The sequence below is a fragment of the Homo sapiens genome, chromosome 16 (genome assembly GCF_000001405.40).
Source record: "Homo sapiens chromosome 16, GRCh38.p14 Primary Assembly".
Taxonomy (NCBI): domain Eukaryota; kingdom Metazoa; phylum Chordata; class Mammalia; order Primates; family Hominidae; genus Homo; species Homo sapiens.
Window position 1 is genome coordinate 4,449,252 of NC_000016.10, and position 27,578 is coordinate 4,476,829.

Sequence of the window (27,578 nt, forward strand, 5' to 3'; positions counted from 1 at the left end):
TCCCAAAGTGTTGGGATTACAGGCGTGAGCCACCATGCCCGGCCAGAATGGTCGACTTCTTGGAGTTGTTGGGAGAATTAAATGAACAACACATAGGAATTGCTTTGCTGCTGCTGCTATTGTTGATTTTCTTCTTTTTTTTTTGAGAAGGAATCTGTCACTGTGTTGCCCAGGCTGGAATGTGGTGGTGCCATTTCAGCTCACTGCAACCTCCTCCTCCCCAGTTCAAATGATTCTCCTGCCTCAGCCTCCCGAGTAGCTGGGACTACAGGCGCTTACCACCACGCCCAGCTAATTTTTGTATTTTTAGTAGAGACGGAGTTTCACTGGCCAGGCTAATCTCGAACTCCTGACCTCAGGTGATCTGCCCACCTTGACTTCCCAAAGTGGTGGGATTACAGGTGTGAGCCAGCACGCCTGGCCCGTTGCTTTTCTTGTTGATGTTACTAGCACTGTTAGGAGCTGGAGAGGTGGCCTGGGCAGAGTGCTGTGGGTACCTAGGGCGGGACATGCCTGACTCCCCTCGGGAGCACTCATGCTTTTTGTTAATTAGATAATTTCTTTTTTTTTTTTTGAGATGGTGTCTAGCTCTGTCTCTAGGTGGAGTTCAGTGGTGCAATCTCCACCTCCCAGATTTAAGCAATTCTCCTGCCTCAGCCTCCCAAGTAGCTGGGACTATAGGCATGTGCCGCCACGCCCAGCTAATTTTTGTATTTTCAGTAGAGACGGGGTTTCACCTTGTTGGCCAGGATGGTCTCTATCTCCTGACCTTGTGATCCGCCCACCTTGGCCTCCCAAAATGCTGGGATTACAGGCATGAGCCACTGCGCCTGGCCTAATTAGATAATTTCTTACTTGCTTCACATACACACTGGTAAAATCTGTTTCCCCTCCTGTAAACTGTATTTAGCATAGCCACAGTGACACTTGTTTAAATGACTTAGTGTAGGGTGTTTTAGGAGCTTTTCTGTACAGAAGCTTTGAGGGCATGGTCCTTAGGTTCTCACCGCTGCACTGGCTCAGGGTGTCCGCCCCTGCCAAGGTTGGGTCCCTCTCTTCCCATGTGCTGCGAGGGTGCTGGCTGCCTGTGAGTTCTTTCCAAAGCTTCCCGGCGGAAGCCTTGGCTGCTGACTCTGCTCGGTCCACAGGAGGCTAACGAGCCGGCAGCAGAGCCTGATCCTGAGCTACGCCGAGGACGAGACAGATGTGGAGGGGACGGTGAACGGCGTCACCCTCACCAGCTCTGGTAAGGAGTCTGAAGACTACATGGTGACACGTGGGGGCCTCAGAGCCCCCCAGGGTATGGACAATTCAGGGCAGCATGTTGGGGTTTCCACTTCGGGTTCTTCATGAAGCCTTTAAAATGTGCAGTTGAAAGAGGGGGGCTGTGGGCGGGGACAGCGGGCAGGGAGCCGCAGCCCCCAGTCCAAGCTTCGCCTCCTCTCTCTGTGTGTGTTTCTGTGCTGAGGTGAGAGCACCAGGGCACTTCCTGCAGGCAGCTCTGCGTGTCTCAGACCCAGTGTTCTGAGTTCTATTCTTGGTTCTGCCACTTGCCCTGTGACCTCGGACAAATCCTTCCCTGAGAGCTCCTGGCAAAAGCGTAAGGAGAGAGCATGGATTGGAAGGATTTGTGCACTTCCCACCTGGGACACTCCGCCAGGATTTCAGAGTGTCTTAAAACAACAGCAGCCACAGCAGTGGAGCCGCAGTCAGCAGACTCCGTCCGCCGCTTTAGAGCAGGACTCCCTCCAAGTTATCTAGCCGTGAACAGATGCACCATTTACCCTGAGCTCAGACATCGTGCTAGCGAGTGGCTGTGTTAGGGATCTGTCACCAGAACACCTGCTGTGGGCGCTGAGACAATGGCACCCCAGCTGCAGCCCCTCTTCCCATGGGGTCTGGGGCCTCTTTCCTGGGACTCCTGGCTCAGGGCAGGGCAGGCTGTGCCCAGGGGTCCTTGGTTCAGGCGGCATGTATTTCCTCCTCATTGCATCATTTTGTTTTTGTTTGGATCCTGGGTGGAGTTCTCAGAACTTGAGCAGCCTTAGATTAGTGCATGGTAATTCGTAGCAGGTGTTTGGAGCTGGGGGCCGATTTTCCAATAAAGTGGAGGATTTGGAGCTCCAGGGGCAGGGGCAGGGGCTGGGATGGAAGTCCCTGGAATTTCACTGAGCTCCTGTTGCTCCCAGGGGACTGGAATTCCTCTGTTAAAAAGCAGCTGCCGGCCGGGCGCAGTGGCTCTTGCCTGTAATCCCAGCACTTTGGGAGGCAGGGGCAGGTGGATCACTTGAAGTCAGGAGTTTGAGACCAGCCTGGACAGCATGGCGAAACCCCATCCCTACTAAAAATACAAAAATTAGCTGGGTATGGTGGTGCATGCCTGTAATCTCAGCTACTCAGGACGCTGAGGCAGGAGAATCGCTTGAACCCAGGAGGCAGAGGATGCAGTGAGCCAAGACCACACCACTGCACTCCAGCTTGGGTGACAGTGAGACTCTCTGAAAAAAAAAAAAAAAAAAAAAAAAAGGGCCTGGCGCGGTGGCTCACGCCTGTAATCCTAGCACTTTGGGACGCCGAGGAGGGTGGATCACGAGGTCAGGAGTTTGAGACCAGCCTGACCAACATGGTGAAACCCTGTCTCTACTAAAAAAAAAAAAAAAATACAAAAACTAGCGGGGCATGGTGGTGGGCATCCATAATCCCAGCTACTCTGGAGGCTGAGGCAGGATAATTGCTTGAATCCAGGAGGCAGAGGGTGCAGTGAGCCAAGATTGCACCACTGCACTACAGCCTGGGTGACATAGCGAGACTCTGTCTCAAAAAAACAACAACAAAAAAGCAGCTGCCACAAAACTCTGTAGCCCAACCAGGTTCCAAATGTCACTTATTTTAATGGTTTGGTACATATACTGTGTATATGTATACTATCTTTTGTTCTTGTTGTATCTCTTGAACTAAAATAGAAGTGGTAATAGAGTAGCTATTCCCCGGAACTCTAATCAGTGCACCTGTGGCTTCTCCTTCCTCAAACCCTACAATCACATAACATGCGAGATTGGTTCCATAGACAGCTGTCCTTCCCTCCTCCCGCCCATCAGGGTAGCTTGAGGTGTGCTACGGCCGGGCCCTGGGTGGGTTCGTGGGTGTTGCTTACTCTGTTGGAGGTTGGGTATTACTGGTCACCAGTTGATGTTTTGACCCTCTCTCTGATACTGTAAGTTGAAAGTTGATTCCGCCACCCACTGAGATCCTTTGTCACTTCCATGGTTACTTGTCCTGATCACTCAGCCTCACTCAGCTGTTCCCTCACTCAGCCAGGATGTCTTCTCCTGTGTGCAAGACACTGTCAGCTCTTCCTTTTAAAGATCTTGGTGAGGCCGGATGCAGCGGCTCACACCTATAATCCCAGCACTTTGGGCGGCTAATGCAGGAAGATCACTTGAACCCAGGAGTTCGAGACCAGCCTGGGCAATATAGCGAGACTCTGTCTCTACAAAAAATTTCAAAACTAGCCAGGTGCAAAGTAGTATGCACCTCTATCACCAGCTACTTGGGAAGCTGAGATGAGAAGATCACTTGAGCCTTAGTACTCAAGGCTGCGGTGAGTCATGACAGCGACACTGTACTCCAGCCTGGGTGCCAGGGCAAGACTCTGTCCCTAAGCATACACCGTCACATGTCAGTCTGCTGCCTGTGGGTGGTTAAGTCTCTCATTATACTGTGAAGACAGTTAGTTTTGCATCCACATATGACAGTATTACAGGACATATAATTCTCATGTCCTAAGAACTTAAGCAACAGTGGGATTTATTTATTTATTTGAGGCAGAGTCTTGCTCTGTGGCCCAGCCTGGAGTGCAGTGGTGCAGTCATAGCTCACGGCAGCCTCAAACTCCTGGACTCAAGTGATCCTCCCACCTTGGCCTCCCAGAGTGTTGGAATTACAGACATGAGCCACTGTGCCTGACCAGCATAGTTTTTGATGCGTTTAGTATCTTAATGTAGCTGCTGAAAACCTTAAGAGCTGACCCCGGTCTCCCAGAAAGACCATGGTGTGCTTAGAGACTCAGCACTTGCAGGGATAAACAGGTCCATCTTCTGGCGAACAGAGAGGGAACTGGGGGGGCTTGCAATTACTATGTGACTTTTTGAGTGAGAGACACAGTATGGCTCCTTGTTGTTCTTTTTTTTTTTTTCTTTTTTTGGAGACGGAGTCTCACTCTGTCACCCGGGCCGGAGTGCAGTGGCGTGATCTCGGCTCACTGCAACGCACTCTGCCTCTTGGGTTCAACCAATTCTGCCTCAGCCTCCCGAGTAGCTGGGACTACAGGTGCATGCCGCCCCTGGCTAATTTTTTGTATTTTAGTAGAGATGGGTTTCACCATGTTCGAGGCCGGTCTCGAACTCCTGAGCTCAGGCAATCCGCCTGCCTTGGCCTCCCAAAGTGCGGGGATTACAGGCGTGAGCCACTGTGCCCGGCCTTTTCTTTTTTGAGACTGGGTCTCACTCTGTTTTATGTAGCCTCCCTCACCCCTTCCCGGGGACCTGTGGCCCCAAACTTTGGACCTTTCACTAGCGAAGGCACCTTCTTACTTAGACTGAGGCCTTTACTCTTTTATGCACTGTGCGTGGCCTAGGTCTCTGAGCACATTAAAAATGAGCTCTACAATTAACATGCCAAGTTCAGGTCTATATTCTAACTCACAACAAAAGTGTGCACTCCTTGTCTAGTAGTTGGCAAATCTGTAACACGTTTGTGTGAGAAAGTACCTCTAGATGGTGTCAGCCTGGGCCCTAAAGAAATTGCAGCACAGCTTCCCTAGGTTGAGAGCATTTAGGTTAGGTGCCCCAAATGGGGACAACTTGCTCAGGGAGATAGACTGCTGATGTGAGGGATGAGATGGAGTGCCTGTGACAAAGGATTGTGCGTGGCCGTGACTCCCACATGGGCTGTTCTGCAGGGTCTTTGCGCACACAGCAGCATGGAATCTGGCCAGTTGGTCTAGAGTAGGGTTTTTCTTGGCAGTCATTATTTACCTTCTTATAGCCAACAGCATGGTGGTTGAGTCTCAGCTTTGGAGTCAGACTGCATGGGCTCGCACTCAGTCCTCCCTCCCGCTTGTTGGCTCTGTGGCCTTGGGTAAACCCTGTAACCTCTCTGTGCCTCCTTTTTTTGTTTTTTCATCTGTGAAATTTGCCTGTAAGGAAGTGTATGGCCTGGCCTGGGAGGTGCCTGGCACTTGACTGTGTTTTTGTCACTGTTGCTCAGATAGAGACAGCTGTCATAGTCCGTCTCTATTTCTTGTTTCCCTGCTGTGGGTCCTTGATTGAAAGAGCAGTTGGGAGACCCTCAGGCTCTGAGTGGCCTGTTCACCTCAGTCGTCTGCAAGGTGAGGCATCCTGTGCCATCTTAGGAGTGGCCCCCACTCTTCTTGAGGTGGCACTTGGCCGCTTCTTGAACGTGGGCCCCTGGGTGGCCAGGCGGGGGTAGGTGGGCCCTGGGATGTGACTGTGGAAGTGCAGGCCCATGACGCCAGTTCTTTCTGCTGTTTGTGCCCAGGTGGCAGCACCATGGATAGCTCCGCAGGAAGCAAGGCTAGGCGTGAGGCTGGGGAGGACGAGGAGGGATTCCTTTCCAAACTTAAGAAAATGTTTACCTCATGATATCCCAGCCGAGGTAGGAAAACCCTGGAGGTTTTTTTTCCCTTTGTTTTCCTCTGTGAACTAATCCTGGTTTTCTCCCACTTTAACCAATATTGTGCCCCCACCCCCAGGAGTTGGAACAGGTGCCAGTCCAAGGTGTGGTAAACCTAGCTCCACTAGGAGCTGGCCTCTCAGCCTAGGGAATAGATGACGTGGCAATCAGCCTGTAGTGCAGGACTGGCTGGGCTGCCGCGGCCAGCCTCTGGCTGTGTCTTCTTCCTGGGGAGGTGGCGATGCTGGGGCTGTTGTACAGCCCCCCTGCAGTGGTGGGTCCGGCTTGCCCATGGTCACAGAGGGCGAGTCAGGCAGAGCCAGGCCTAGAACTCAGATCTCCTCACGTCCTGCCTGCTTGGAAGCTGCCCTCCTGCGTGGACAGCGCAGGGCTGTGCAAGCCTGGGGGCTGCTCCAGGGGTAGCGCTTGCTCGCCGTGTCATCTTGGGACCCACTTTGGTTTATTATGCTCATCTCAGCAAGTGGGGTTCTCGCCCCTCTCTTGGCACAGCTGCTTTCCAGGGATTAACAGACGCTCCCCACAGGGGTGTGTTCCCTTGAAATGTTGAGTATAAGGTAACAGCCTATCTCTTTGGCTCAGGAAAAAGATCCACTGGAAACTAGGCCGGGAAGCAGCAGCCCCTCCAAGGGCCAGGGCACCTGGGAGACGGGAGGATTCCAGAACAGCAGCACTGAGCTCCCACCCGCAGAGCCTCTGGACGGCCTTGGCAACAGCAAAATCATGGGACAACACCTCTCTCCACGGAAAGGTCACAGTGGACAGCCCGGGCAGTAGGATGCAGCCCCAGAGGCTGGTGGCAGTTTCCTGTCCATTGGTAGGTGACGGCCCCTGGCTCAGGCAGAGGGAGATGGTTAGACTCTTGCAGGGCTAAAACTCTAATTTGGAATTGAATATTGTGGATATCTTAGTTAAAGGCCATGCTTACAGCTTAGAAATGAAGCCTTAAGCTGCATCAAGTTACGAAGTGATTAATTTCCTTCTCAGCAAACCTCCGGGAGGTTCCAGAATGAGTTCTTCCTGACAGGTTGTCTTCACTGGGAGCGTGGGGCCCCCAGGCCCCACCAGCACCGTCCTCCCCTAATGAGGGGCCCTGCCGAGGCATCAGCTGCTCTGCTCAGTTAGTTTTTATTCCCGGGGTACCAAGCAGCTGCACAGTCGGTGCCTGGGAGGCACGTAGAGGCCCAGAGAGTCCCTGGGGGTTCTGCTCTGACCGTGTGGGTGGTGATCCTTGTCAGGATGTACAGTCCTTGCTCCCACCCCATCCGGGATGGCCGCCTGTCCCTGACTATTGAGTCCTGTTGTTGTAAGCCAGGCATGGAGGGCTCCTGCCCTTCTGCTGAGCCACAGCCCATTGCAGCACTGTGCTGGCCAGACTTCAGCTGCCTTGGGAACTGAAGCCCTGCCACTGTTGCTAGTCAGGGGCTTGGTTCTCCCACTTACACTGTTGACATCTATTTTCTGAAGTGTGTTTAAATTATTCAGTGCTAATCATTGTTTTTTCCTTTGTAAATGTTGATTCAGAAAAGGAAAGCACAGGCTAAGCAGTTGAAGGTTCCCCACCATTCAGTGAGAGCAGAACCCCCATTCCCCAGCCTCTGCTGGTAGCATGTCGCAGTTTCCATGTGTTTCAGGATCTTCGGGCTGTCGTTAGACAGGTTAATGAAGAACACTTCTCAACAGTTTCCTTTTTGTTTTCCTTTATAATTCACTAAAATAAAGCATCTATTAGTGTCTGATTTAGGAATGTAAAATGATTCTGTATTAATGTAAATAAGATTATCTATTGCAAAAAGATATTTCAAACCTAAATTGTGGTCATTTCTTCTTTGAAAGAATTCAGACAGCCTCTGCAGGTGGCTTATGGGGGTTACAGGAGACTTGGCTGGCCTCATCCTGTGCTCACAGCCACCCAGAGCACATAGAGGCAGATGGGTCTGGGGTGCCGACAGTGCTGACCCTCACTTGGATTCCAGAGCAGGGTGCTTGCCATGACACAACAGTCCCCTGTGAGTGAATGTTCTAGAATCTGGATGTGACTTTTTTCTTGGGAGCCCATGCTGTGAGAGCTGGCCAATGTCCCTGGGTCCCTGCATTTCAGTCTCCCTCACTGGATTGTTTCCCTTCATTCTTTCCAGTCTTTGCATCTTTTACATTCAATTTTATTTTATTTTTTTTTTAAATGGAGTCTCGCTGTGTCGCCCATACTGGAGTGAAGTGATACCATCTCTGCTCACTGCAACCTCTGCCTCCTGGGTTCAAGCGATTCTCCTGTCTCAGGCTTCTGAGTAGCTGGGACTACAGGTGCATGCCACCACGCTTGGCTAATTTTTGTATTTTTAGTAGAGATGGGGGGTTTCACCATGTTGGCCAGGCTGGTCTTGAACTTCTGACCTCAGGTGATCCGCCCACCTCGGCCTCCCAAAGTGCTGGGATTACAGGTGTGAGCCACCATGCCTGACCAAAATTTTTATGTATTATAGTTTGGCTACTCTGGGTTCCCAGCCACGCTCTATGCCTGGCGTGGCTAGAGGGGCCCTGATACACAGCTCAGTCCACTCTGGCACTCTGGGCTGAGCAGGGTGAGATGAGAGTCTGTTTGCTGGGTCAGGTGGAGAAGAGACTCGGGAAAGAGCTGACGGACAGGAGAGGCTCAGCAGTGACATTCTGCTCATCTCAGATACTTCCCAGTATTTTCATCAATGAAATACTGATTGCCTGCCTACTGTGGACACTCAGTATGGACCAGGCCCTATTCTAGTTCCTGGGGATACAGCAGTGGGGAGCTAGACCGTGTCTCTTGTGAAAGCTTGGGCTTATTCCTGGAACAGTCACCCTGAGTCTCATTCATGTCCTATTGCTTCAAAGCAGAAGTCTAGAGAAAGACTTTGGAAGAGAAAGGTGGATTTTCTTGCTAAACAGAAACCATTGTTGTGTTGAAGCATCCTTCCCTCAAGGGATTAGAGGTGGCTGTGCATGACCAGGCGAGGTGGCTCACACCTATAATCCCAGCACTTTGGGAGGCTGAGGCGGGTGGATCACCTGAGGTTAGGAGTTCAAGACCAGCCTGGCCAACATGGTGAAACCCCGTCTCTATAAAAATACAAAAAAATTAGCCAGGCGTGGTGGCACATGCATGTTATCCAAGCTTCTCAGGAGGCTGAGACAGGAGAATCACTTGAACTCAGGAGGTGGAGGTTGCAGTGATTGGAGATCATGCCATTGCACTCCGGCCTGGGCGACAGTGCGAGACTTCATCTCAAAAAAAAAAAGGTGGCCGTGCAACAGCTGTAGAATTCAGTGCTCTTTCTGGGCCTGGGTTTGGTTTATTTCCACTTGTGCTCCTGATGTATTTGTTACCAGACTTCTTTATAGCTTCTGAGTAGTAGTATGTATTTAAAAATATAAGAAAAGGGCCAGGCATGGTGGCTCACGCCTGTAATCTGAACACTTTAGGAGGCCAAGGAGGGAGGAATGTGTGAGCCCAGGAGCGAGAGAGTGAGACCCCCATCTCTACAAAAAAATTCTAAAAAATTAGCTGGGAGTGGTGGCTTGGCACCTGTAGTCCCAGCTACTTAGAAATCTTGAGGTGGCAGGATTGCTTGAGCTGAGGAGTTCAAGGCTCCAGTGAGCTGTGATCATGCAACTCCACTCCAGTCTAGGTGACAGAGCCAGACCATGTCTCAAGAAAATAAAGTATTTCTAGGCCTGTGAGCCTGTGGGAGGTACATGTTTGGCACTTGCTTAAACATTAGGAGGGTGGGCCGGGCGTGGTGGCTCACACCTGTAATCCCAGCACTTTGGGAGGCCAAGGTGGGCGGATCATGAGGTCACGAGTTCAAGACCAGCCTAGCCAACATGGTGAAACCCTGTCTCTACTAAAAATACAAAAATTAGCCAGACTTGGTGGTGGGCGCCTGTAATCCGAGCTACTCGGCAGGCTGAGGCAGGAGATCCGCTTGAACCCTGGAGGTGGAGGTTGCAGTGAGCCAGGATTGCGCCACTGGATTCCAGCCTGGGTGACAGGGTGAGACTCCATCTCAAAAAAAACATTAGGAGGGTGGACAAGGCCAGCTCTCAGGCATTGGTCCTCAGCCCCATTCCCACCTCAGGCCTGGGACTGGGTTGTTTCCAACCTGAGCCCCCTCCTCACTCATAGTCCTTTGGGTTCTGGTGGCCTGGCCTTTGTTTCCTTCCCTGTCAACCAAACAGTGTGCAAGAATTCTCTCCAGGCCCACAGGCCTCCAGCTGCCCCTGCCCCTCTGTGTTTGTAGCACTGCAGAGCCGGCTCTGATGTGGAGGACGGCAGCTGCACGGCTCCTGGAAGAGGCTTGTTTCACACTCTTGCTTGTTAATAAATACTGTGCAGGTCTTATCTTTTAACTAGAAGTTCTGCTTATTTCTCATGACTCTTCAAGGGTCACAAATGGGCCAGGGGGGAACATAAAAGGCGAAGTGGGTCCATAGTTATATGGCCAAGGGCATGATCCACAGACCTTAGCTTACTGGTCACCTCCCCCGATGCTGCTCCTGTCCCCATTTATTTATCCTTCCTGTTTTGTTTTTTGCAGCCCTTATGTCAATTTGTTTTTTGGGTTTTGTTTTGTTTTTGAGACAGGCTTTCACTCTGTTGCCCTGGCTGGCTTGTGGTGGTGCAATCACAGCTCACCACAGCCTTGACCTCCTGGGCTCAAGTGATCCTCCTACCACAGCTTCCTGAGTAGCTGGGAGTACAGGCACATGCCACCACGCCTGCCACCATTTCTTCTGTTTTTTTGTTTTTGAGGCAGAGTCTCCCTCTGTCGCCCAGGCTGGAGTGCAGTGGTACAATCTCGGCTCACCACAACCTCCACCTCCTGGGTTCAGCTGATTCTCCTGCCTCAGCCTCCTGAGTAGCTGCCGGCACACGCCACCACGCCCAGCTAATTTTTGTATTTTTTGGTAGAGACAGGGTTTTGCCATGTTGACCAAGTTGGTTTCGAACTCCCAACCTCAACTGATCCACCTGCCTTGGCCTCCCAAAGTGCTGGGATTACAGGCATGAGCCACCACGCCTGGCCCTAGTTTCTTTTGTATTTCTTTTTTTTAGGTAGAGATGGGGTCTTGCTATGTTGCCCAGGCTGGTCTCGAACTCCTGAACTCAAGCCATCCTCCACCTCAGCGTCCCAAAGTGCCGGAATTACAGGCGTAGATACATAACTATTTATTGTGTGTTTCTATCAGGCTCTCCCACTAAATATAAGCTCCTCAAGGCAGGCAGCATAACTTTTTTTGCTACATTGTATTTAGGGCCCAGCATACTGGTAAATTGTCAAAGAAATGCTTCAGTCAATGGATAGAATGAATTTTTGTGCCTGGGGGTGCCAGAGCCAGGGTGGGGAAGTAAAAAAATAAAAACTGTGATGGTAGTCACACAAACCTAAATGTGTTGAATTGAAATTCACAGAACTGCTGGGCTCAGTGGCTCATACCTGTACGATAATCCCAGCTACTCAGGAGGTTGAGGTGGAAGGATCACTTAAGCCTGGGAGGTGAAGGCTGCAGTGAGCTATGACTGTGCCACTGCACTCCAGCCTGGGCAACAGAGCGAGACCTTGACTCTTTAAAAAAAAAAAAAAAAAAAAAAAAAATTGGCCAGGCGCGGTGGCTTATGCCTGTAATCCCAACACTTTGGAAGGCCGAGGCGGGCGGATCACGAGGTCAAGAGATCGAGACCATCCTGGACAATATGGTGAAACCCCGTCTCTACTAAAAATACAAAAATTAGCTGGACGTGATGGTGCATGCTTGTAATCCCAGCTACTCGGGAGGCTGAGGCAGGAGAATCACTTGAACCCAGGAGGTGGAGGCTGCAGTGAGCTGGGATCGTGCCACTGCACCCCAGCCTGGGTGACAGAGGGAGACTCCGTCTCAAAAAAAAAAAAAAAAAAAAAAATCGGAGCTGCCATGGACCACAAACTCTCAGGCAAATAACTGGTCTCTCGGCCTCTGACCCTCTTCTCTGTGACCCACCCCAGCAAGCAAGGTGGGTTGTTTCTCCTTCAGTTTTGCTTCCCAGCAGTGTCCAATTACTGTGCGTTGTGGACCACAGCTCTGCCACATCCGATTTTCCTTTTTCCAACCTGTTTGAAGTTCACCTGTGTCCAGGATGGTACCCCAAGGCCGGCTCCTTCCAGGACAAGGATGAGGAGAGAAAGGGAGAAGCCCATATCTCCCCCGCCTCCCTGCAGAGCCTGTCTCCAGTTCACATGTGCAGATGGCCTCACTAGCTCTGGAGATGAAAGGGGTGTGTCAGAAGCTCGGCTCCTGGGGCTCCTCTGTGTCCTGTGCTATGTCCCCGTCTGTGAATGAATTTCAAATGTGGGAACAGAGGCTGCTGGTCAGAGCTGTTCTGCTAGCTGAGGTCAGAACAGGCCACTTCACACCTGTCTGACTAAACACGTTTAGGTCACTCGTCCCAGTCACCAAGTGATCCCTTCAGCCTTGGACCCTCCCTTACTGCTGTGTTGGTACAGCCCTGGAGCCACCCCTTACTGCTGTGTTGGTACAACCCCGGGTCCCCTCACTTACTGCTGTGTTGGTACAGCCCTGGACCCCCCCCCCCCGCTCCAACTTACTGCTGTGTTGGTACAGCCCCGGACCCTCCCCAACCACTTACTGTTGTGTTGGTACACAACTACCACCCCAACCCAAGTCCTGGAAGCAGAGTCCTCTTCTCCTGGAAGCCATCTGGGAGAACAATGGCTTTATTCAGATGTTGGTGCCTCTGCCCCTCTGGTGCCCCCGATCCCCACAAGGGGCCGCGAGGCGGGCAGGTCACAGCAGGTTGAAGTCCCCTTTGTGCTGTTCCAGCCACTGGTCCAGCGTCAGGGCCTTGGGGTTGAGTCTCAGGGTCAGCTCGATGTCACGGTCGGGTCTCAGGGCATAGAAACGGAACATGTTGGCCAGGTCCCGGGCACCGGGAAAGCCAAGCTTTTCGTAGTCCTCAGGAGTCATCTGGAAGCAGAGGAGCCTGTCGTGGCCGGCGTCCTCCAGTGCCCCGGGAGGTGGCGGGGCAGGGAGGCCGGATGGGCTGGGGTCTCCCGACCTGCTACACCCAGAGCCACTATTGTCTCGGTCCCTGACCCAGGTCCTCCGTACAAGGTCATTTGAAAACTTCTAAGAGCCGAAAGTTCAGAAACTGCTGCTCTCCTGAGCTGCCTGACATTGTAGATCAGTTTAAAGATTGTTCTTGGCCAGATGCTGTGGCTCATGCCCGTAATCCCTGCACTTTGGGAGGCTGAGGCAGGCAAATCTCTTGAGGCCAGGAGTTCGAGACCAGCGTGGCCAACACGATAAAACCCCGTCTCTTTCAAAAATACAAAAATTAGCCAGCCTGGTGGTAGGTGCGTGTAATCCCAGCTACTTAGGAGGCTGAGACAGGAGAATCGCTTGAAACCAGGAGGTGGAGGTTGCAGTGAGCTGAGATCACCCCACTGTACTCCAGCCTGGGCAACAAGAGTGAGACCCTGTCTCAAAAATGAATAAATAAAAAGACTATTATTTTCAGATCATGAGACGAAAATATCTCAGTCCCTTCCAAATCAGAGACCTGCCTGCATCACTTTCTTTCTCAAAAACCAAAGCTTGACCAGACACAGTGGCTCACACCTGTCATCCCAGCACTTTGGGAGGTGGAGGTGGGAGGATCGCTTGAGCCCAGGAGTTAGGCCCACCACGCCGGGCTAATTTTTTGTATTTTTAGTAGAGACGGGGTTTCACCGTGTTAGTCAGGATGGTCTCGATTTCCTGACCTTGTAATTGCCCGCCTCAGCCTCCCAAAGTGCTAGGATTACAGGTGTGAGCTACCGCGCCTGACCCAACTTTCGTCTTTTAAGGACTCCAGTGTTTCCCAGATTCTTTTTTTTTTTTGGAGTTGGAGTCTCGCTCTGTCGCCCAGTCTGGAGTGCAGTGGCATCTCGGCTCGCTGCAAACTCTGCCTCCTGAGTTCAAGCGATTCTCTTGCCTCAGCCTCCCAAGTAGCTGGGATTACAGGCGCCTGCCACCACACCCGGCTAATTTGTTTATTTTTAGTAGAGATGGGGTTTCACCCTGTTGGCCAGGCTGGTCTCAAACTCCTGACCTCAGGTGATCCACCTGCCTCGGCCTCCCAAAGTGCTGGGATTACAGGCGTGAGCTACTGCACCCAGCCTCCCAGATTCTTTAATGAGTATGTCTTACTTTCCTAATGGTAATGACAAACATTAGAAACCAGGTACCCAAGAGTCTGTCCAGTAGGCCTCCTGCCCACCCAGCCAGGCCAATGGGGGCAGGGGTCGGCCCTATCTTTCTAGCCTCTTTCCCTTTAAATCCCCTCCCACAGGGGAGGGGTCGGGTCTATCTTTCCAGACTCTTTTCTCTTCAAATTCCCTCCCACAGAGGAGCCCGGCAGGGCCTGCATTTTCACCCCTCCTTGCCTTGGCTCCTATGGCCCTCTCCTCCTGGAAGCTTTTCTCTCTATTTGGTCAAAACATCTAAGCCAGAAATTTCACTCTGTGGCCAGTTAGCTCCTGGAACAGCAGAAAATAAACGTTGACGATGAACGAATGAATTTAGATGTACTGCCCAGAGGTGTGGGCAGCCCTGGACACACCCTCCCTACGGGAGCTAGAAAGCCCTGACAAGGATGCCTGAGTCACCTGGGGCGGGAGGCCCACCTTGGCATCGTGCACGACCTTGCGGGTGTGCTTGGTGAGCAGGGCAGCGTACTCCTCGGCCGTGTGCCTGCAAGTGCTCAGCCCGATGTTCTGGCCGACGTATTTTTCTGGCATCTTCAAAAGGCTGAGCACCACAGGACCCAGGTCAGACACGGACATGCCATCCATGGGAACGTCACCTGTGGGCAAGCCTGTGGGGCAGAGACGTGAGCTGGTATATGTCCCGAGGGCAGACAGGGGCAGGGACAGAGCCCCTCTCCAAAGGGTCCAAGCTGGTTCTTCCCAGCAGTCAGCTGCACACTCCAGCACTCGGGCATAGCTAAGACAAGTCTTGCTATTTGTGGTAGCACAGAGGCAGCAGTGGAATTGAGTCAGGAAACGGGATGGAATCCGGGTACTGCCACCTAGGGCAGGCTGTTGAGGCTCTCTGAGCCTGGGTTGCTGCATTCCTAGAATGGGGCTAAGAACCTGGGCCTGCCCAGCTCTCTCAGCGCTAGGATGACAGAGAAGGGACAAAGGAAAAGGACTCTGAAAGCTGCTACAGAGAGTGTGGCTGGAGCCCAGGGTCTCCGCTAATCTGGAGGCACCAGCCTGAAGTACTCTGTCATATCCTAGATTCCTGGAAGCTGGAACGTCCACCTCTGAGTAGATACTCCAAATACCAACTCACTTACCAGGAATCCTGATTAACCAGACACCAACGGCTGGCCTAGAGCAGCACGTCCATGATAAATGCTTCATAAATCCTGAATGAATGAATGACTCGCAAACTTCCAGGCTGAGGTTTTGTAGATGGGGAGGCTGGCAACTGTCTGGGTGTGGCCTGTGGAATGCTTGGGTCCTATCCTCCTTACCTAGAGACAGGGGCCAGTGCAGCTTCCTGTTCAGATCACCTGGGAGCTCGAGGGCACAGAGCGCACAGACCGGAGCAGGAGATATCCCTGACTGCAGGTTTTTTTTTTTTTTTTTTTTTGAGATGGAGTCTCGCTCTGTCGCCCAGGCTGGAGTGCAGTGGCGCAATCTTGGCTCACCACAAGCTCCACCTCCCGGGTTCACACCATTCTCCTGCCTCAGCCTCCCGAGTAGCTGGGACTACAGGCGCCTGCCGCCACACCCGGCTAAGTTTTTGTATTTTTAGTAGAGACAGGGGTTTCACCAAGTTAGCCATGATGGTCTCGATCTCCTGAACCTCGTGATCCGCCCTCCTCGGCCTCCCAAAGTGCTGGGATTACAGGCGTAAGCCACCGTGCCCGGCCTTTTTTTTTTGAGACGGGGTCTTGCTCTGTCACCCAGGCTGGAGTGCAGTGCCACGATCTCGGCTCACTGCAACCTCTGCCTCCTGGGTTCAAGCGATTCTTCTGCCTCAGCCTCCCGAGTAGCTGGGATTACAGGCGTGCACCACCACGCCAGGCTGGCTAATTTTTGTATTTTTAGTAGAGATGGGGTTTCACACCATGCTGGCCAGGCTGGTCTCAAACTCCTGAACTGGTGGTCTGCCCACCTCGGCTTCCCAAAGTGCTGGGATTACAGGCGTAAGCCACTGCGCCTGGCCAGCTTTGCAAACTATAATAAATGGTGGTACCAAAGGGCTACTGTTACCACCAGACTTGGCCCGCCAGGTGAGCAGGACTCCCATGGGCTGGGCCCTTATGCGAGGGTGACCTGGCATTCAACCAGAGGGTAAGGAGTGGCCAGCCAGAGGCACCAACCCCTCCTGCCCTGATCACTGAGTGACCAGCAGGACACAGGTTGGGTGAGCCTTGTTCCCAGCCAGGGCCAGTGCACCTAACCTGTTTATAGCCCCAATGGGCACTGAGAAGAAAGAGCTTTCCTAGTTTGTGAAATCTGCAACTGAACTTCATTTTCCAAATCCTCTCCTCGTCTTTGGTTTTTTTGTTTTGTTTTGTTTTGTTTTGTTTGTTTTGAGACGGAGTGTTGCTCTTGTCGCCTAGGCTAGAGTGCAGTGGCACAATCTCAGCTCACTGCAACCTCCACCTCCTGGGTTCAAGCGATTCCCCTGCCTCAGCCTCCCTAGTAGCTGCCAGTACAGGTGGGTGGCACCACGCCCAGCTAATTTTTGTATTTTTAGTAGAGATGGGGTTTCACCATGTTGGCCAGGCTGGTCTCCCCGCCTCAGCCTCCCAAAGTGCTGGGACTACAGGCATAAGCCACAGCGCCCGGCCCTCCTCATCTTTGAAGGAGAACTGACAATCACTAGGTCCTCTCTGTAAAGCCTTCCAATGGACCAAGCGAATATCGTGTCACCACCATCTCAGCAGATCTTGCCACCCCTGCAAACATTGGTATAGAGCCCATCTCACAGAACAGGAAGCTGAGGCCCCGCAAGCTGACAGGATGTGCTCAGTCCTGGGCCTAACGTGAGGGAGCCACGGCTTGAACCTGGCACCACGTGACAGCGGCCCGCGGTCTGTTACACCAACGGCTTTACAGGGTGAGAGCTCTGCCTCACCGTGTGCGAGAAAGGGCACTTACTCAGCAAGTAGCTCTTTCCGTCTGGGGCTTTCTGGGGCAAGAAGTGGGAGAGGAGGTTCTCAAAATAGCAGGGCAGCCGCACACTGGTCATGGGAACGCCAATGTCCCGGAAATATTCCTCCACCTCCCCTTTGCCGTCAAAGTGCGCGGCGGCCAATCTCCCTGCCGTCAGCTTCTTGATGTTCTCCAGGCCGCTGTAGACCACATAGTGGAGGCCCAGGCGCCTGGCCAGATCAGCGAGCAGCTTCCCCTGGAGGGCAGGGAAGGAGAGATCACAAGGCTCAGAAGAAGGATGTCTGTCCCTGGTCACAGCCCCAGCATTCTAATCCCGGAGCGGCCACCATCTGCGAGGTTAACATCTAGACCCCACTTACCCTTGAGGAGGCCCCCTCTCCTGGAATGATGTTCACACATGACACCACGCCCGTAAACACAGCCCCGGAAGCCTTCTACCAGCCACTGACTCTGGCCCACCATGTGCAACATAGGACGGGGGGGCAGGTCGGCTGCAGGGGGACGGCCTGCATGGAGGTCTAAAGGAGAATGCACACGTCCCATCTCTGCTGGTGTGAGAACACCCTGCCCATGGAGCTCAGCCATCTTCCTTGGAGAGCCCTGGGAGGCTATACAGAGGCACCACAGCTGCCTAGGTTCAAATCAGGCTCTGCCATGTACGAGCAGTGTGACCCCAGAGAAGTGATGGCACCATCCTGACCTCGCTGGTAAAATGCAGATGACAACACTACCTACTGCATGAGGTGACGCAGAGATTCGGACGGTGGCCTCCAAAAAGATATGCCGCATCCTCATTCCTGAAAACTGTGAATGTGACCTTATTCGGAAAAAGGGTCTTGGCAGATGTAATTACGTGAAGGATCTTGAGATGGGAACATCCTGCACTAACTAGATAGGCGCTAAATCCAGTAACCAGGGTACTTATAAGAGACGGGAGAAGAGACAACACCTGGAGAAGGCCATGCGAAGAGGGAAGCGGAGATTGGAGCTTTGTGGCCACAAGCCCAGGAACACCTGGAGCCATGAGAAGCCAGAAACAGTGAAGAAGGATTTCCCTCAAACCCCTTGTTTTGTTTTGTTTTTTAAGATGGACTCTCACTCTGTCACCCAGGCAGGAGTGCAGTGGCGTGATCTCTGCTCACTGCAGCCTCCGCTTCCTGGATTCAAGCAATTCTCCTGCCTCACCCTCCTGAGTCGCTGGGACTACAGGTGCCCGCCACCATGCCTGGCTAATTTTTGTATTTTTTGTAGAGACAGGGTTTTGCTGTGTTGGCCAGGCTGGTCTTGAACTCCTGACCTTAAGTGATCTGCCCACCTCAGCCTCCCAAAGTGCTGGGATTACAAGCATAAACTACCACGCCTGGCCTCCAAGACTCTGGAGAGAGGGTGACATTGCTGACACCTTGATTTTGAACTTCTAGCTTCTAGAATATCAGAGAATCGATTTCTGTGGTTTTTGTTTTTGTTTTTGAGACAGAGTCTAGCTCTGTCGCTCAGGCCGGAGTGCAGTGGCACAATCTTGGCTCACTGCAACCTCCGCCTCTTGGGTTCAAGCAATTCTCCTGCCTCAGCCTCCTGAGTAGCTGGGATTACAGGCGCCCACCACCATGCCCAGCTAATTTTTGTATTTTTAGTAGAGACAGGGTTTCACTGTGTTGGCCAGGATGGTCTCAAACTCCTGACTTCAAGTGATCTGCCCGCCTCGGCCTCCCAAAGTGTGGGGATTACAAGCATGAGCCACTGTGCCCAGCTGATTTCTATGGTTTTAAGCCACGTGGATTGTGGTCCTTTTTCGTGACAGTACCAGGAAGCCCACAGGGAATCATCAGGATTAGAAATAAGATCTGCTGGGCTGGGCGCAGTGGCTCATGCCCGCAGTCCCAGCACTTTGGGAGGCCGAGGCAGGCGGATCGCCTGAGGCCGGGAGTTAGAGACCAGCTTGACCAACATGGAGAAACCCCGTCTGTACTAAAAATACAAAAAAATTACCAGGGCATGGTGACGCATGCATGTAATCTCAGCTATTCGGGAGGCTGGGGCAGGAGAATAACTTGAACCCAGGAGGCGGAGGTTGCGGTGAGCCAAGATTGCGCCATTGCATGCCAGCCTGGGCAACAAAAGCGAAACTCGGCCTCAAAAAATAAAGAAAGAAATAAGATCAGCTCAGGGCCGGGCATGTGGCTTACGCCTGTAATCCCAGCACTTTGGGAGGCCGAGGTGGGCGGATCACCTGAGGTCAGGAGTTCAAGACCAGCCTGGCCAACATGGTGAAACCCCGCCTCTACTAAAAATACAAAAATTAGTTGGGTGTGCTGGTACACACCTATAATCCCAGCTACTCGGGAGGCTGAGGCAGAAGAATTGCTTGAATCTGGGAGGCAGAGGTTGCAGTGAGCCGAGATCACCCCACTGCACTCCGGCCTGGGCGACAGAGCAAGACTCAGTCTCAAAAAAAAAAAAAAAAAAAAGATCTGCGTTAATCAGAGAAGTTGTCTTTGTCTGCTCTATATAATGGGCTTCTAGGTAAGACCATAATTGAAGAAAGGGTCAAGGCTAATAACAAGTTTGGATGGGTACACGTGGACATGAAGGCAACAACAGACACTGGGAACCACGGGAGGGAGGGAGGCAAGGGTTGAAAACCTACCTACTGGGTACTGTGCCCACTACCTGGGTGACAGGTCCAGTCACACCCCAGACCTCAGCATCACTCAATATACCAATGTAACAAACCTGTGCATGTACCCCTGAATCTAAAATAAAAGTGGAAATTACTTTTTAAAAAAAACTTCTAACATTTTTGATTAAAAAAAAAAAAAACAAACGAACAGGCCAGGCGTGGTTGCTCACGGAGACTGAGACGGCCTCAAACAAACAAAAAAAAAGTAATTGGATGAGAAAGCAACAGCGTCCACCTGCTTCACAGCCTAGAGCAGGCAGAGGCATGAAGAAGAGGGAAAGGCCTGCAGTGCTCCAACCTCCCTGCAGAGTCGGAGCTCCTCCCAGGCGCTCTGCTCCTAGCCTGGCCGGGCCTCCCTGCAGCTCCTGCCTGCCCTCACCTGCTTGACCTCCTGCTCCTGGCTGCAGCTCTCCCAGTAATTGGTCACGATGAAGGTGGCGTAAGCCCCATTCAGGGCCAGCTCCATGATGACCTGGTCATCTTGGTCTCCCTGCACTACTTCTGCACCTTGCAGCCTCAGCTCCTTTGCTGCCTTCTTCCTAGGGTTTCGGGTCACCACTCGAACCTTGAATGTCCCATCTTCCAGGAGTGTGCGGGCCACGGAGCCACCCTGGGCACCTACAAAGAATCAAAAAGACCTCTCAGGTCAGACCTACCTGAAAGTCCCACTGAAGGGCGAAACCCCGAAGGGAGTGCTCCACCACAGCAAGGAGCATCCAGGAAACCTTCTCAACGACGATTCTCATTCAGGTATTTTTATTTTCTTTATTTTATTTTTTTGAGATGGAGTCTCACTCTATCACCCAGGCTGAAGTGCAGTGGCACGATCTTGGCTTGGTGAAACCCCGCCTCTATCAAAAAATACAAAAATTAGCTGGGTGTGAAGGCACATGCCTGTACTCCCAGCTACTCAGGAGGCTGAGGCACGAGAATTGCTGGAACCCAGGAGGCGGAGGTTGCAGTGAGCTGAGATTGCGCCACTGCACCACAGCCTGGGTGACACAGCGAGAATCTGTATTAAAAAAAAAAAAAAAAGGCCAGGCATGGTGGCTCACGCCTGTAATCACAGCACTTTGGGAGGCCAGGCCGAGTGGATCACCAGGTAAGGAGACCGAGACCATCCTGGCTAACACAGTGAAACCCTGTCTCTGCTAAAAATACAAACTTAGCCGGGCGTGGTGGCACCCGCCTGTAGTCACAGCTACTCAGGAGGCTAAGGCAGGAGAATCGCTTGAACACAGGAGGCGGAGGTTGCAGTGAGCCCAGATCACGCCACTGCACTCCAGCCTGGGTGACAAAGTGAGATTCCCTCTCAAAAAAAAAAAAAAAAAAAAAAAAAGGGCCTGGTGCAGTGGCTCACACCTGTAATCCTAGCACTTTGAGAGGCCGAGGGGGGTAGATCACCTGAAGTTGGGAGTTTGAGAACAGCCCGACCAACATGGAGAAACCACTGTCTCTACTAAAAATACAAAATTAGCTAGGCGTGGTGGCACATGCCTGTAATCCCAGCTACTCGAGAGGCTGAGGCAGGAGAATCGCTTGAACCCAGGAGGCAGAGGTTGCGGTGAGCCGAGATCGCGCCATTGCACTCCAGCCTGGGCAACAAGAGCGAAACTTGGTCTCAAAAAAATAAAGGTAAAAATATTTGTGATGTAATAAAGTAAAAAAAGTAGAATACAAAACCATATTCAGGCTGGGTGCAGTGGCTGTAATCCTAGCACTTTGGGAGGCTGAGACAGGTGGATCACGAGGTCAGGAGCTCAAGACCAGCCTAGCCAAGATGGTGAAACCCCGTCTCTACTAAAAATAAAAAAATGAGGCCGGGTGCAGTAGCTCACAACTGTAATCCCAGCACTTTGGGAGGCCGAGGCGGGCGGATCATGAGGTCAGGAGATCGAGACCATCCTGGCTAACACGGTGAAACCCTGTCTCTACTAAAAATACAAAAACTTAGCCGGGCGTGGTGGCGGGCGCCTGTAGTCCCAGCTACTCGGGAGACTGAGGCAGGAGAATGGCATGAACCCAGGAGGTGGAGCTTGCAGTGAGCCGAGATCGCGCCACTGCACTCCAGCCTGGACGACAGAGCAAGACTCCGTCTCAAAAAAAAAAAAAAATTAGCTGGGCATGGTGGAGCCTGTAATCCCAGCTACTTGGGAGGCTGAGGCAGGAGAATCGCTTGAACCAGGGTGGCAGAGGTTGCAGTGAGCCGAGATTGGGCCACTGCACTCCAGCCTGGGTGACACAGTGAGACTCTGTCTCAAAACAAAAGAAAAAACCATATTCAGATCTTGATGGGATTTGAATTCTTCCTGAAGTAGAATATAAAGCCATATTCAGATACACAACCATATTCAGATCTGCTCAAAAACGAGACAAAGAAAAATAGTTAACAGAAAGGAATACAAAAACTTATTCAGATCTCGATGGAGCTTGAGTCACACAGGCATGCGCATCGGTCAGATGTACCCTTAAGATTTTGCGCGTTGCAGCTGGGCCCAGGGGCTCATGCCTGTAATCCAGACACTTTGGGAGGCTGAGGCACGCAGATCTCTTGAGCTCAGGAGTTTGAGACCAGCCTGGGCAACATGGTGAAACCATATCTCTACAAAAAAAAACCAAAAATTAGCTGGGCGTGGTGGCATGTGCCTGTAGTCCCAGCTACCAGGGAGGCTGAGGCTGGAGGAAAGCCTGAACCCAGGAGGTTGAGGCTGCAGTGAGCCGTGATCACACCACTGCACGCCAGCCTGGGTAACAGAGTAAGGCCCTGTCTCCAAAAAAAAAAAAAAAAAAAAATTCTTTATTATATGTATATTTTACCTCATAATTAAAAATAATCTATAAACAAATACTGAATTCTAGCTAATGTTATGCATGCTTTAGTATGGAAGGGCGGTGTACACATATCTGCAATTTACACAGAAATGCATCAAAAATAAGGACTGAGGCCGGGCACAGTAGCTCATAGCTGTAATCTAAGCACTTTGGGAGGGTAAGGGGGATGGGTTTTGCTTGAGGCCAGGAGTTTGAGACCAGCCTAGGCAGCAGGGTGAGACCCAGTCTCTACAAAAAATTAAAAAATCAGCTGGGCCTGTTAGCGCTCATCTGAAGTCCCAGCTACTCAGGCGAATGAGTCAGGAGGATTGCTTGAGGCTTGGAAGTCAAAGCTGTAGTGAGTGATGATTGAGCCACTGCACTCCAGCCTGGGCAACAGAGCAAGACCCTGACTCAGAAAAAAGTGTACACCAATGTTCCATGGCAGCATTATTCATAATAGCCAAAAAGTGGAAATAAATCAAGTATCCATCCACTGACGAATGGACAAACAGAATATAGTCTATCCATACGGTGGAATATTACTCAGCCATAAAAATAAGTAAAGCTGTCAGGAGTTCGAGACCAGCCTGACCAACATGGTGAAACCCCGTCTCTACTAAAAAATACAAAATTAGCTGGGTGTGGTGGTGCACACCTGTAATCCCAGCTACTTGGGAGGCTGAGGCAGGAGAATTGCTTGAACCCGGGAGGCAGAGGTTGCAGCGAGCAGAGATCACACCATTGCACTCCAGCCTGGGCAACAAGAGAGAAACTCTGTCTTAAAAATAAAAAAGTAAAGTTGGCCGGGCGCGGTGGCTCAAGCCTCTAATCCCAGCACTTTAGGAAGCTGAAGTGGGCAGATCACCTGAGGTCAGGAGTTTGAGACCAGCCTGGCCACATGGCAAAACCCCATCTCTATTAAAAATACAAAAATTAGCCAGGCATGGTGGCTCACGCCTGTAGTCCCTGCTACTCAGGAGGGTGAGACAGGAGAATCGCTTGAACCCGAGTGGCAGAAGTTGCAGTGAGCAGAGATCACGCCACTGCACTGCTGCCTGGGCAACAGAGCGGGACTCTGTCTCAAAAAAAAAAAAAAAAAGAGTAAAGCCCGGACACACACTACAACATGAACAAACCTTGAAAACATGCTAACTGAAGAAGCCAGAGAGAAAAGGCTACATATTATGATTTTATTCATATGAAATGTCCCGAATAGACAAATCCATAGAAACCAAAAGTAGATTGGAGCTTTCTAGGGGTTGGCTGGGAGGAGTAAGAATGGGGAGTAACTGTTCACGGGTTCATGGAGTTCTTTTTTTTTTTTTTTTTTTTGAGATCAGGTCTCACTCTGTTGCCCAGGCTGGAGTGCAGTGGCACAATCAGGTCACTGCAGCCTTGACCTGCTGGACTCAGGTGATCCTCCCACCTCAACCTCCTAGGTAGCTATAGGTGCATGACACCACGCCCCACTAATTTTTGTATTTTTTTGTAGAGACGAGATTTTGCCCTGTTGTTCAGGCTGGTCTCAAACACCTCAGCTCAAGCGATCTGCCCATTTGGTCCAACTAAAGTGCTGGGATTACAGGGTTGAGCCACTGCACCTGGGCCAGAGTTTCTTTTTGGAGTGATGGAAATTTTCTAAAATTGATTGTGGTGATGGTTGTACAATTCTATGAATACACTAGAAACCAGTGAGTTGCACACTTTAAACAGGTAGATTGTATAGTACGTGAATTATATCTCAATAAAGCTGTTAGAGATATTAAATATGTATAAATAAGAAAAAATAGGAATGAAATAATATGCTATCATTTGAAAAAATGATAACATGTTATCTACTCTGGCAGGATATTCAAGAAACTTGGTAACAGCAATAGATGAGGTGGAAGAGGAGGCTAGGAAGAAGATTTAATTTTGGTATCATGTTCAAGTACTCCTATTCAAATAAGTTAAGTAACTCATTTTTTTTTAATTTGGAAAGCAGGTCTGGCGTGGTGGTTCATGCCTGTAATACCTGCACTTTGGGAGGCCGAGGCGGGTCATCACCTGAGGTCAGGAGTTTGAGACCAGCCTGACCAATATGATGAAACCCCGTCTCTACTAAAAATACAAAAATTAGCCGGGCGTGGTGGCATGCCCTTGTAATCCCAGCTACTCGGGAGGCTGAGACAGGAGAATCGCTTCAACCCGGGAGGCAAAGGTTGCAATGAGCCGAGATCGTGCCATCGCACTGCAGCCTGGGTGACAGAGCAAAACTCCGTCCAAAAAAAAAAAAATTGGAAAGCAATTTGGGCCTCGTTCCTGCGACCACAGCCCCAACCTGGGTCGGGGGTCCCAGTGACCTTACCCCTCCCTGCAGACCCCAGGACGGGCGGTCTTCAGGGCTAGGCGCCCTGGCTCTGCAAGGGCCCCAGTCTGGGGTTTGGCTCACCTGTGCCTCCGAAAACCACCACCAGTTTCTTGTCCACCATGAGGACGAGAATGGGACGAATCCGGTCCAGAGATCTGGGGGTAATGGGAGGCGTGGAGTTGGGGGTGGGGCCGGGGTTCCCGCCAGGAGCGACAAAGGACACCCCCATTGTCTATGCATCGAGTATGTGTCGAAGGGGGCGGCTGGGCCCGGAGCGGCAAGACGCCTGTCCCGAGATATCGGGGTCCCGCGACCCACCTCGTGTCCCTTGGGCCCGATCCCCTCCTCCTTCCCGCCTCCCCCGGTTCCAGTCACCCGCCCCCCGGCCCGGGTCCCACCGGCTGGAGTGACCTCCTCGCCGCGGCCTGGGCGGGACAAGTTCCAGGAGCCCGGGACCCCGATTCTGCGGCCGAGTCCACTGCAGAGGCGGGGATGGAGCTGCGCGCTAGGCGCCAACTCCCTCCCCGCAGCTCCGGCCCCACCTGGCAGAGCGCCGCTCACGGAAGCCCAGCGTCGGAGGACCCCTGGCTGCAGCCGCCAATCCCGACGTGTCGGCCGAAACCCCTCCTCCGGCGCAGTTGGCTCCTCCTGGATCCCGCGGGACTCGGCGTCGTTTCCGGGTTTGCCCGCCCCAGGCACGTGCACAGTGAGTTTGTGTAAATCCAGTTAGACCAAAATGAGCGAGGTGGAGAGCCTCTTAACCGGATGCTACGGGTGATGACTGGGAGGAGGAGAAAAATTACCTCTTTATCTTGCATGAACATCTTAATTTTCAGGTATTGGGCGTCAGGCAAAGATAATTAAAGCTATGTCCATGAGTCTTATCCCTTGAGGCCTTGTCCGCTTGATATTTTCTTTGCCTAACTCACTTTTAAAATTTTATTATTTTTATTTTTTTGAGACAGTGTCTTGGTCCGTCGCCCAGGCTGGTGTGCAGTGGCGCGATCTCGGCTTACTGCAACCTCCGCCCCCCGGGTTCAAGAGATTCTCCTGCCTCAGCCTCCCGAGTAGCTGGGATTACAAGCATGTGCCACCAAGCCCGGCTAATTTTTGTATTTTTTAGTAGAGACGGGGTTTCACCAGGTTGACCAGGCAGGTCTCGAACTCCTGACTTAAAGTGATCCACCCACCTCAGCCTCCCAAAGTGCTGGGAGTACAGGTGGGAGCCACCGTGCCCAGCCCTAACTCACTTCTGAAGTTGCTGCTACTTGCACTGATTTCAGTTTTTTTTTGTTTTTGTTTTTTGTTTTCAAGGTGGAGTCTTGCTCTGTGGCCCAGGCTGGAGTGCAGTGGTGGTGCGATCTTGGCTCACTGCAACTTCCGCCTCTTGGGTTCAAGTGATTCTCCTGCCTCAGTTTCCTGAGTAGCTGGGATTACAGGCAGGAGCCACCATGCCCGGCTAAAATTTTTTTGTATTTTTGGTAGAGACGGGGTTTCAACATGCTGGCCAGGCTGGTCTCGAACTGCTGACCTCAAGTGATCTTCCCGCCTCAGGCTCCCAAAGTGCTGGGATTACAGACATGAGCCACCACACCCGGCCCACGATTTCAGTAATTTCTTTGTGTTCAGTAAAACTAAAAAATGACTCTGGGCTGGGTGCGGTGGCCTGTAATTGCAGTGATTTGGGAGGCCGAGGCGGGTGGATCACCTGAGCTCAGGAGTTCGAGACCAGCCTGGCCAACATGGTGAAACCCCCGTCTCTACTAAAAATACAAAAATTAGCCGGGCGTGGTGGCAGGCGCTTGTAATCCCAGCTATTCGGGAGGTTAAGGCAGGAGAATCGCTTGAACCCGGGAGAAGGGGGTTGCAGTGAGCCGAGATCACGTCATTGCACTCCAGCCTGGGCGACGAGCAAAACTCGGTCTCAAAAAAAGAAAAATCATTCTGTCATTCTGGCCGCTGTTTGAAGAATGCGAATAATGCAACAGGGAGATCAGATACAAGACTGGTAACCGAGGTGTCAGAGTTGAGACTCAGTTTCGCAGATTGCATTGGCAAGTGACCAAGTGGGTGGTGCCACGGTTGACAACCCTATTTCTTACATCACTGAGTGGATGTACAAGGATTAAACCACACTGGGGAAGAAAAGTGCTCAACCCTGAGGCACCCTCACACACCTCGGCTCTTGTGAACACTAGTGTTCCTGCCGAAGCACGCCTACTTACCCCGCTGAGCAGAGCCTGAGCCTGCAACCTCCAGAGACCTGGGGAAAGCCACATACTCCGCTTCCCGCCCCCGGCAAGGGCGTGTCAGCTACAAGGGGCGTGTCATCTCTAGGCCCCGCCCCGCGCTGCGTGCCCACGTTGCGCCGGCCTCGCGCCAGTCCGCTGGGCTGCAGGGACTGCGGCGCCTGAGGGAGTCGCTGACGGGCACGCTGACTGGAGGCTGGCGGACAGGCGACAGCGACCTGCGGCAGGTGAGCTGTCCGCGCCCTCCCGGGGCCTTCCTTCCGCCCGGCTTCTCGGACCGCGCTGCGTCCTTCGCGGGCCCTGCCTCGGTCCAGGCCTTCGGACCTGGGCTTGGCCGGGCCACAGCCCTTTGGGTCCCCTGCGCCGGTCTGAGGGGAGACCCGGCCGGGGGCGGCCGGAAGCTGGGTGAGGCCGGGCAGAAGGACGAAGAAGGGCGTGGAGGGGCTGTCAGGGGAGGGCGAAACCGCGGACGCCGCTCTCCAGAAGTCGTCTCCCCGGGGGCGCGGGGAGGCCTGAATGGCTCTCTTTGGCGTCCCCGTTGGGCCCACCCTCTCCCAGCGTCACGGCTA

The 27,578-nt window shown here is 52.2% G+C and overlaps 3 protein-coding genes across 28 annotated transcripts in view, besides 5 other annotated features; 2 read left to right on the top strand and 1 right to left on the bottom strand.

Moving 5' to 3' along the window:
* Window positions 1–7,524, top strand: part of DNAJA3 (DnaJ heat shock protein family (Hsp40) member A3) — a 30,908-nt gene extending 23,384 nt beyond the window's left edge. For 2 of the 4 annotated variants that reach the window (NM_001135110.3, NM_001286516.2), the window contains 2 exons: window positions 1,149–1,246; window positions 6,295–7,524. In NM_001135110.3, the coding sequence (NP_001128582.1) occupies window positions 1,149–1,246; window positions 6,295–6,317 (121 nt within the window). In that variant the 3' untranslated portion in view covers window positions 6,318–7,524. Of the gene's footprint in view, window positions 1–1,148; window positions 1,247–5,559; window positions 5,678–6,294 lie in introns of those variants that run through there. The other 2 variants (NM_005147.6, XM_047434875.1) reach the window with 2 other exon arrangements.
* Window positions 725–1,520: an enhancer, noted in NCBI's record as "H3K27ac-H3K4me1 hESC enhancer chr16:4499977-4500772 (GRCh37/hg19 assembly coordinates)". NCBI's record gives its function as "activates a minimal SCP1, AML or CMV promoter by ChIP-STARR-seq in primed H9 embryonic stem cells {active_cell/tissue: H9 hESC(primed)}" and the evidence as "EXISTENCE:reporter gene assay evidence [ECO:0000049][PMID:30033119]".
* Window positions 6,467–7,437: an enhancer, noted in NCBI's record as "H3K4me1 hESC enhancer chr16:4505719-4506689 (GRCh37/hg19 assembly coordinates)". NCBI's record gives its function as "activates a minimal SCP1, AML or CMV promoter by ChIP-STARR-seq in primed H9 embryonic stem cells {active_cell/tissue: H9 hESC(primed)}" and the evidence as "EXISTENCE:reporter gene assay evidence [ECO:0000049][PMID:30033119]".
* Window positions 10,284–10,484: a silencer, noted in NCBI's record as "peak2472 fragment used in MPRA reporter construct". NCBI's record gives its function as "represses an SCP1 promoter by STARR-seq MPRAs in K562 erythroleukemia cells {active_cell/tissue: K562}" and the evidence as "EXISTENCE:reporter gene assay evidence [ECO:0000049][PMID:32103011]".
* NMRAL1 (NmrA like redox sensor 1) lies at window positions 12,443–27,086 on the bottom strand. 16 transcript variants are annotated; one of them, NR_147845.2, is made up of 7 exons: window positions 25,303–25,374; window positions 24,842–24,915; window positions 19,976–20,214; window positions 16,902–17,151; window positions 14,409–14,599; window positions 14,169–14,261; window positions 12,443–12,708 (listed from the first exon to the last, which is right to left on the bottom strand). NR_147845.2 is itself a non-coding variant. In NM_001351994.2 (7 exons), the coding sequence occupies exons 3-7, from the start codon at window positions 24,879–24,881 to the stop codon at window positions 12,529–12,531; spliced, it is 900 nt and encodes a 299-aa protein (NP_001338923.1). In that variant the 5' UTR covers window positions 24,882–24,915; window positions 25,303–25,541; window positions 26,986–27,086; the 3' UTR covers window positions 12,443–12,528. The 16 variants fall into 16 exon arrangements, 15 of the variants coding, with proteins under 15 accessions (NP_001338923.1, XP_047290338.1, XP_047290337.1 ...); NM_001351994.2 differs by lacking the exon at window positions 14,169–14,261 and adding an exon at window positions 26,986–27,086 and having other exon boundaries at window positions 25,303–25,541; XM_047434382.1 differs by lacking the exon at window positions 14,169–14,261 and adding an exon at window positions 26,986–27,086 and having other exon boundaries at window positions 25,172–25,541.
* Window positions 16,779–17,280: an enhancer, noted in NCBI's record as "H3K4me1 hESC enhancer chr16:4516031-4516532 (GRCh37/hg19 assembly coordinates)". NCBI's record gives its function as "activates a minimal SCP1, AML or CMV promoter by ChIP-STARR-seq in naive H9 embryonic stem cells {active_cell/tissue: H9 hESC(naive)}" and the evidence as "EXISTENCE:reporter gene assay evidence [ECO:0000049][PMID:30033119]".
* The window catches only part of HMOX2 (heme oxygenase 2), a 35,612-nt gene continuing 33,518 nt past the window's right edge, over window positions 25,485–27,578 (top strand). For 6 of the 8 annotated variants that reach the window (NM_001127204.2, XM_017023196.3, NM_001286269.2 and 3 more), the window contains exon 1: window positions 27,147–27,236. The gene's annotated coding sequence lies outside the window, so the exon portion shown is untranslated. Of the gene's footprint in view, window positions 25,597–27,146; window positions 27,415–27,578 lie in introns of those variants that run through there. The other 2 variants (NM_001127206.3, NM_001286268.2) reach the window with 2 other exon arrangements.
* Window positions 26,943–27,444: an enhancer, noted in NCBI's record as "H3K27ac hESC enhancer chr16:4526195-4526696 (GRCh37/hg19 assembly coordinates)". NCBI's record gives its function as "activates a minimal SCP1, AML or CMV promoter by ChIP-STARR-seq in naive H9 embryonic stem cells {active_cell/tissue: H9 hESC(naive)}" and the evidence as "EXISTENCE:reporter gene assay evidence [ECO:0000049][PMID:30033119]".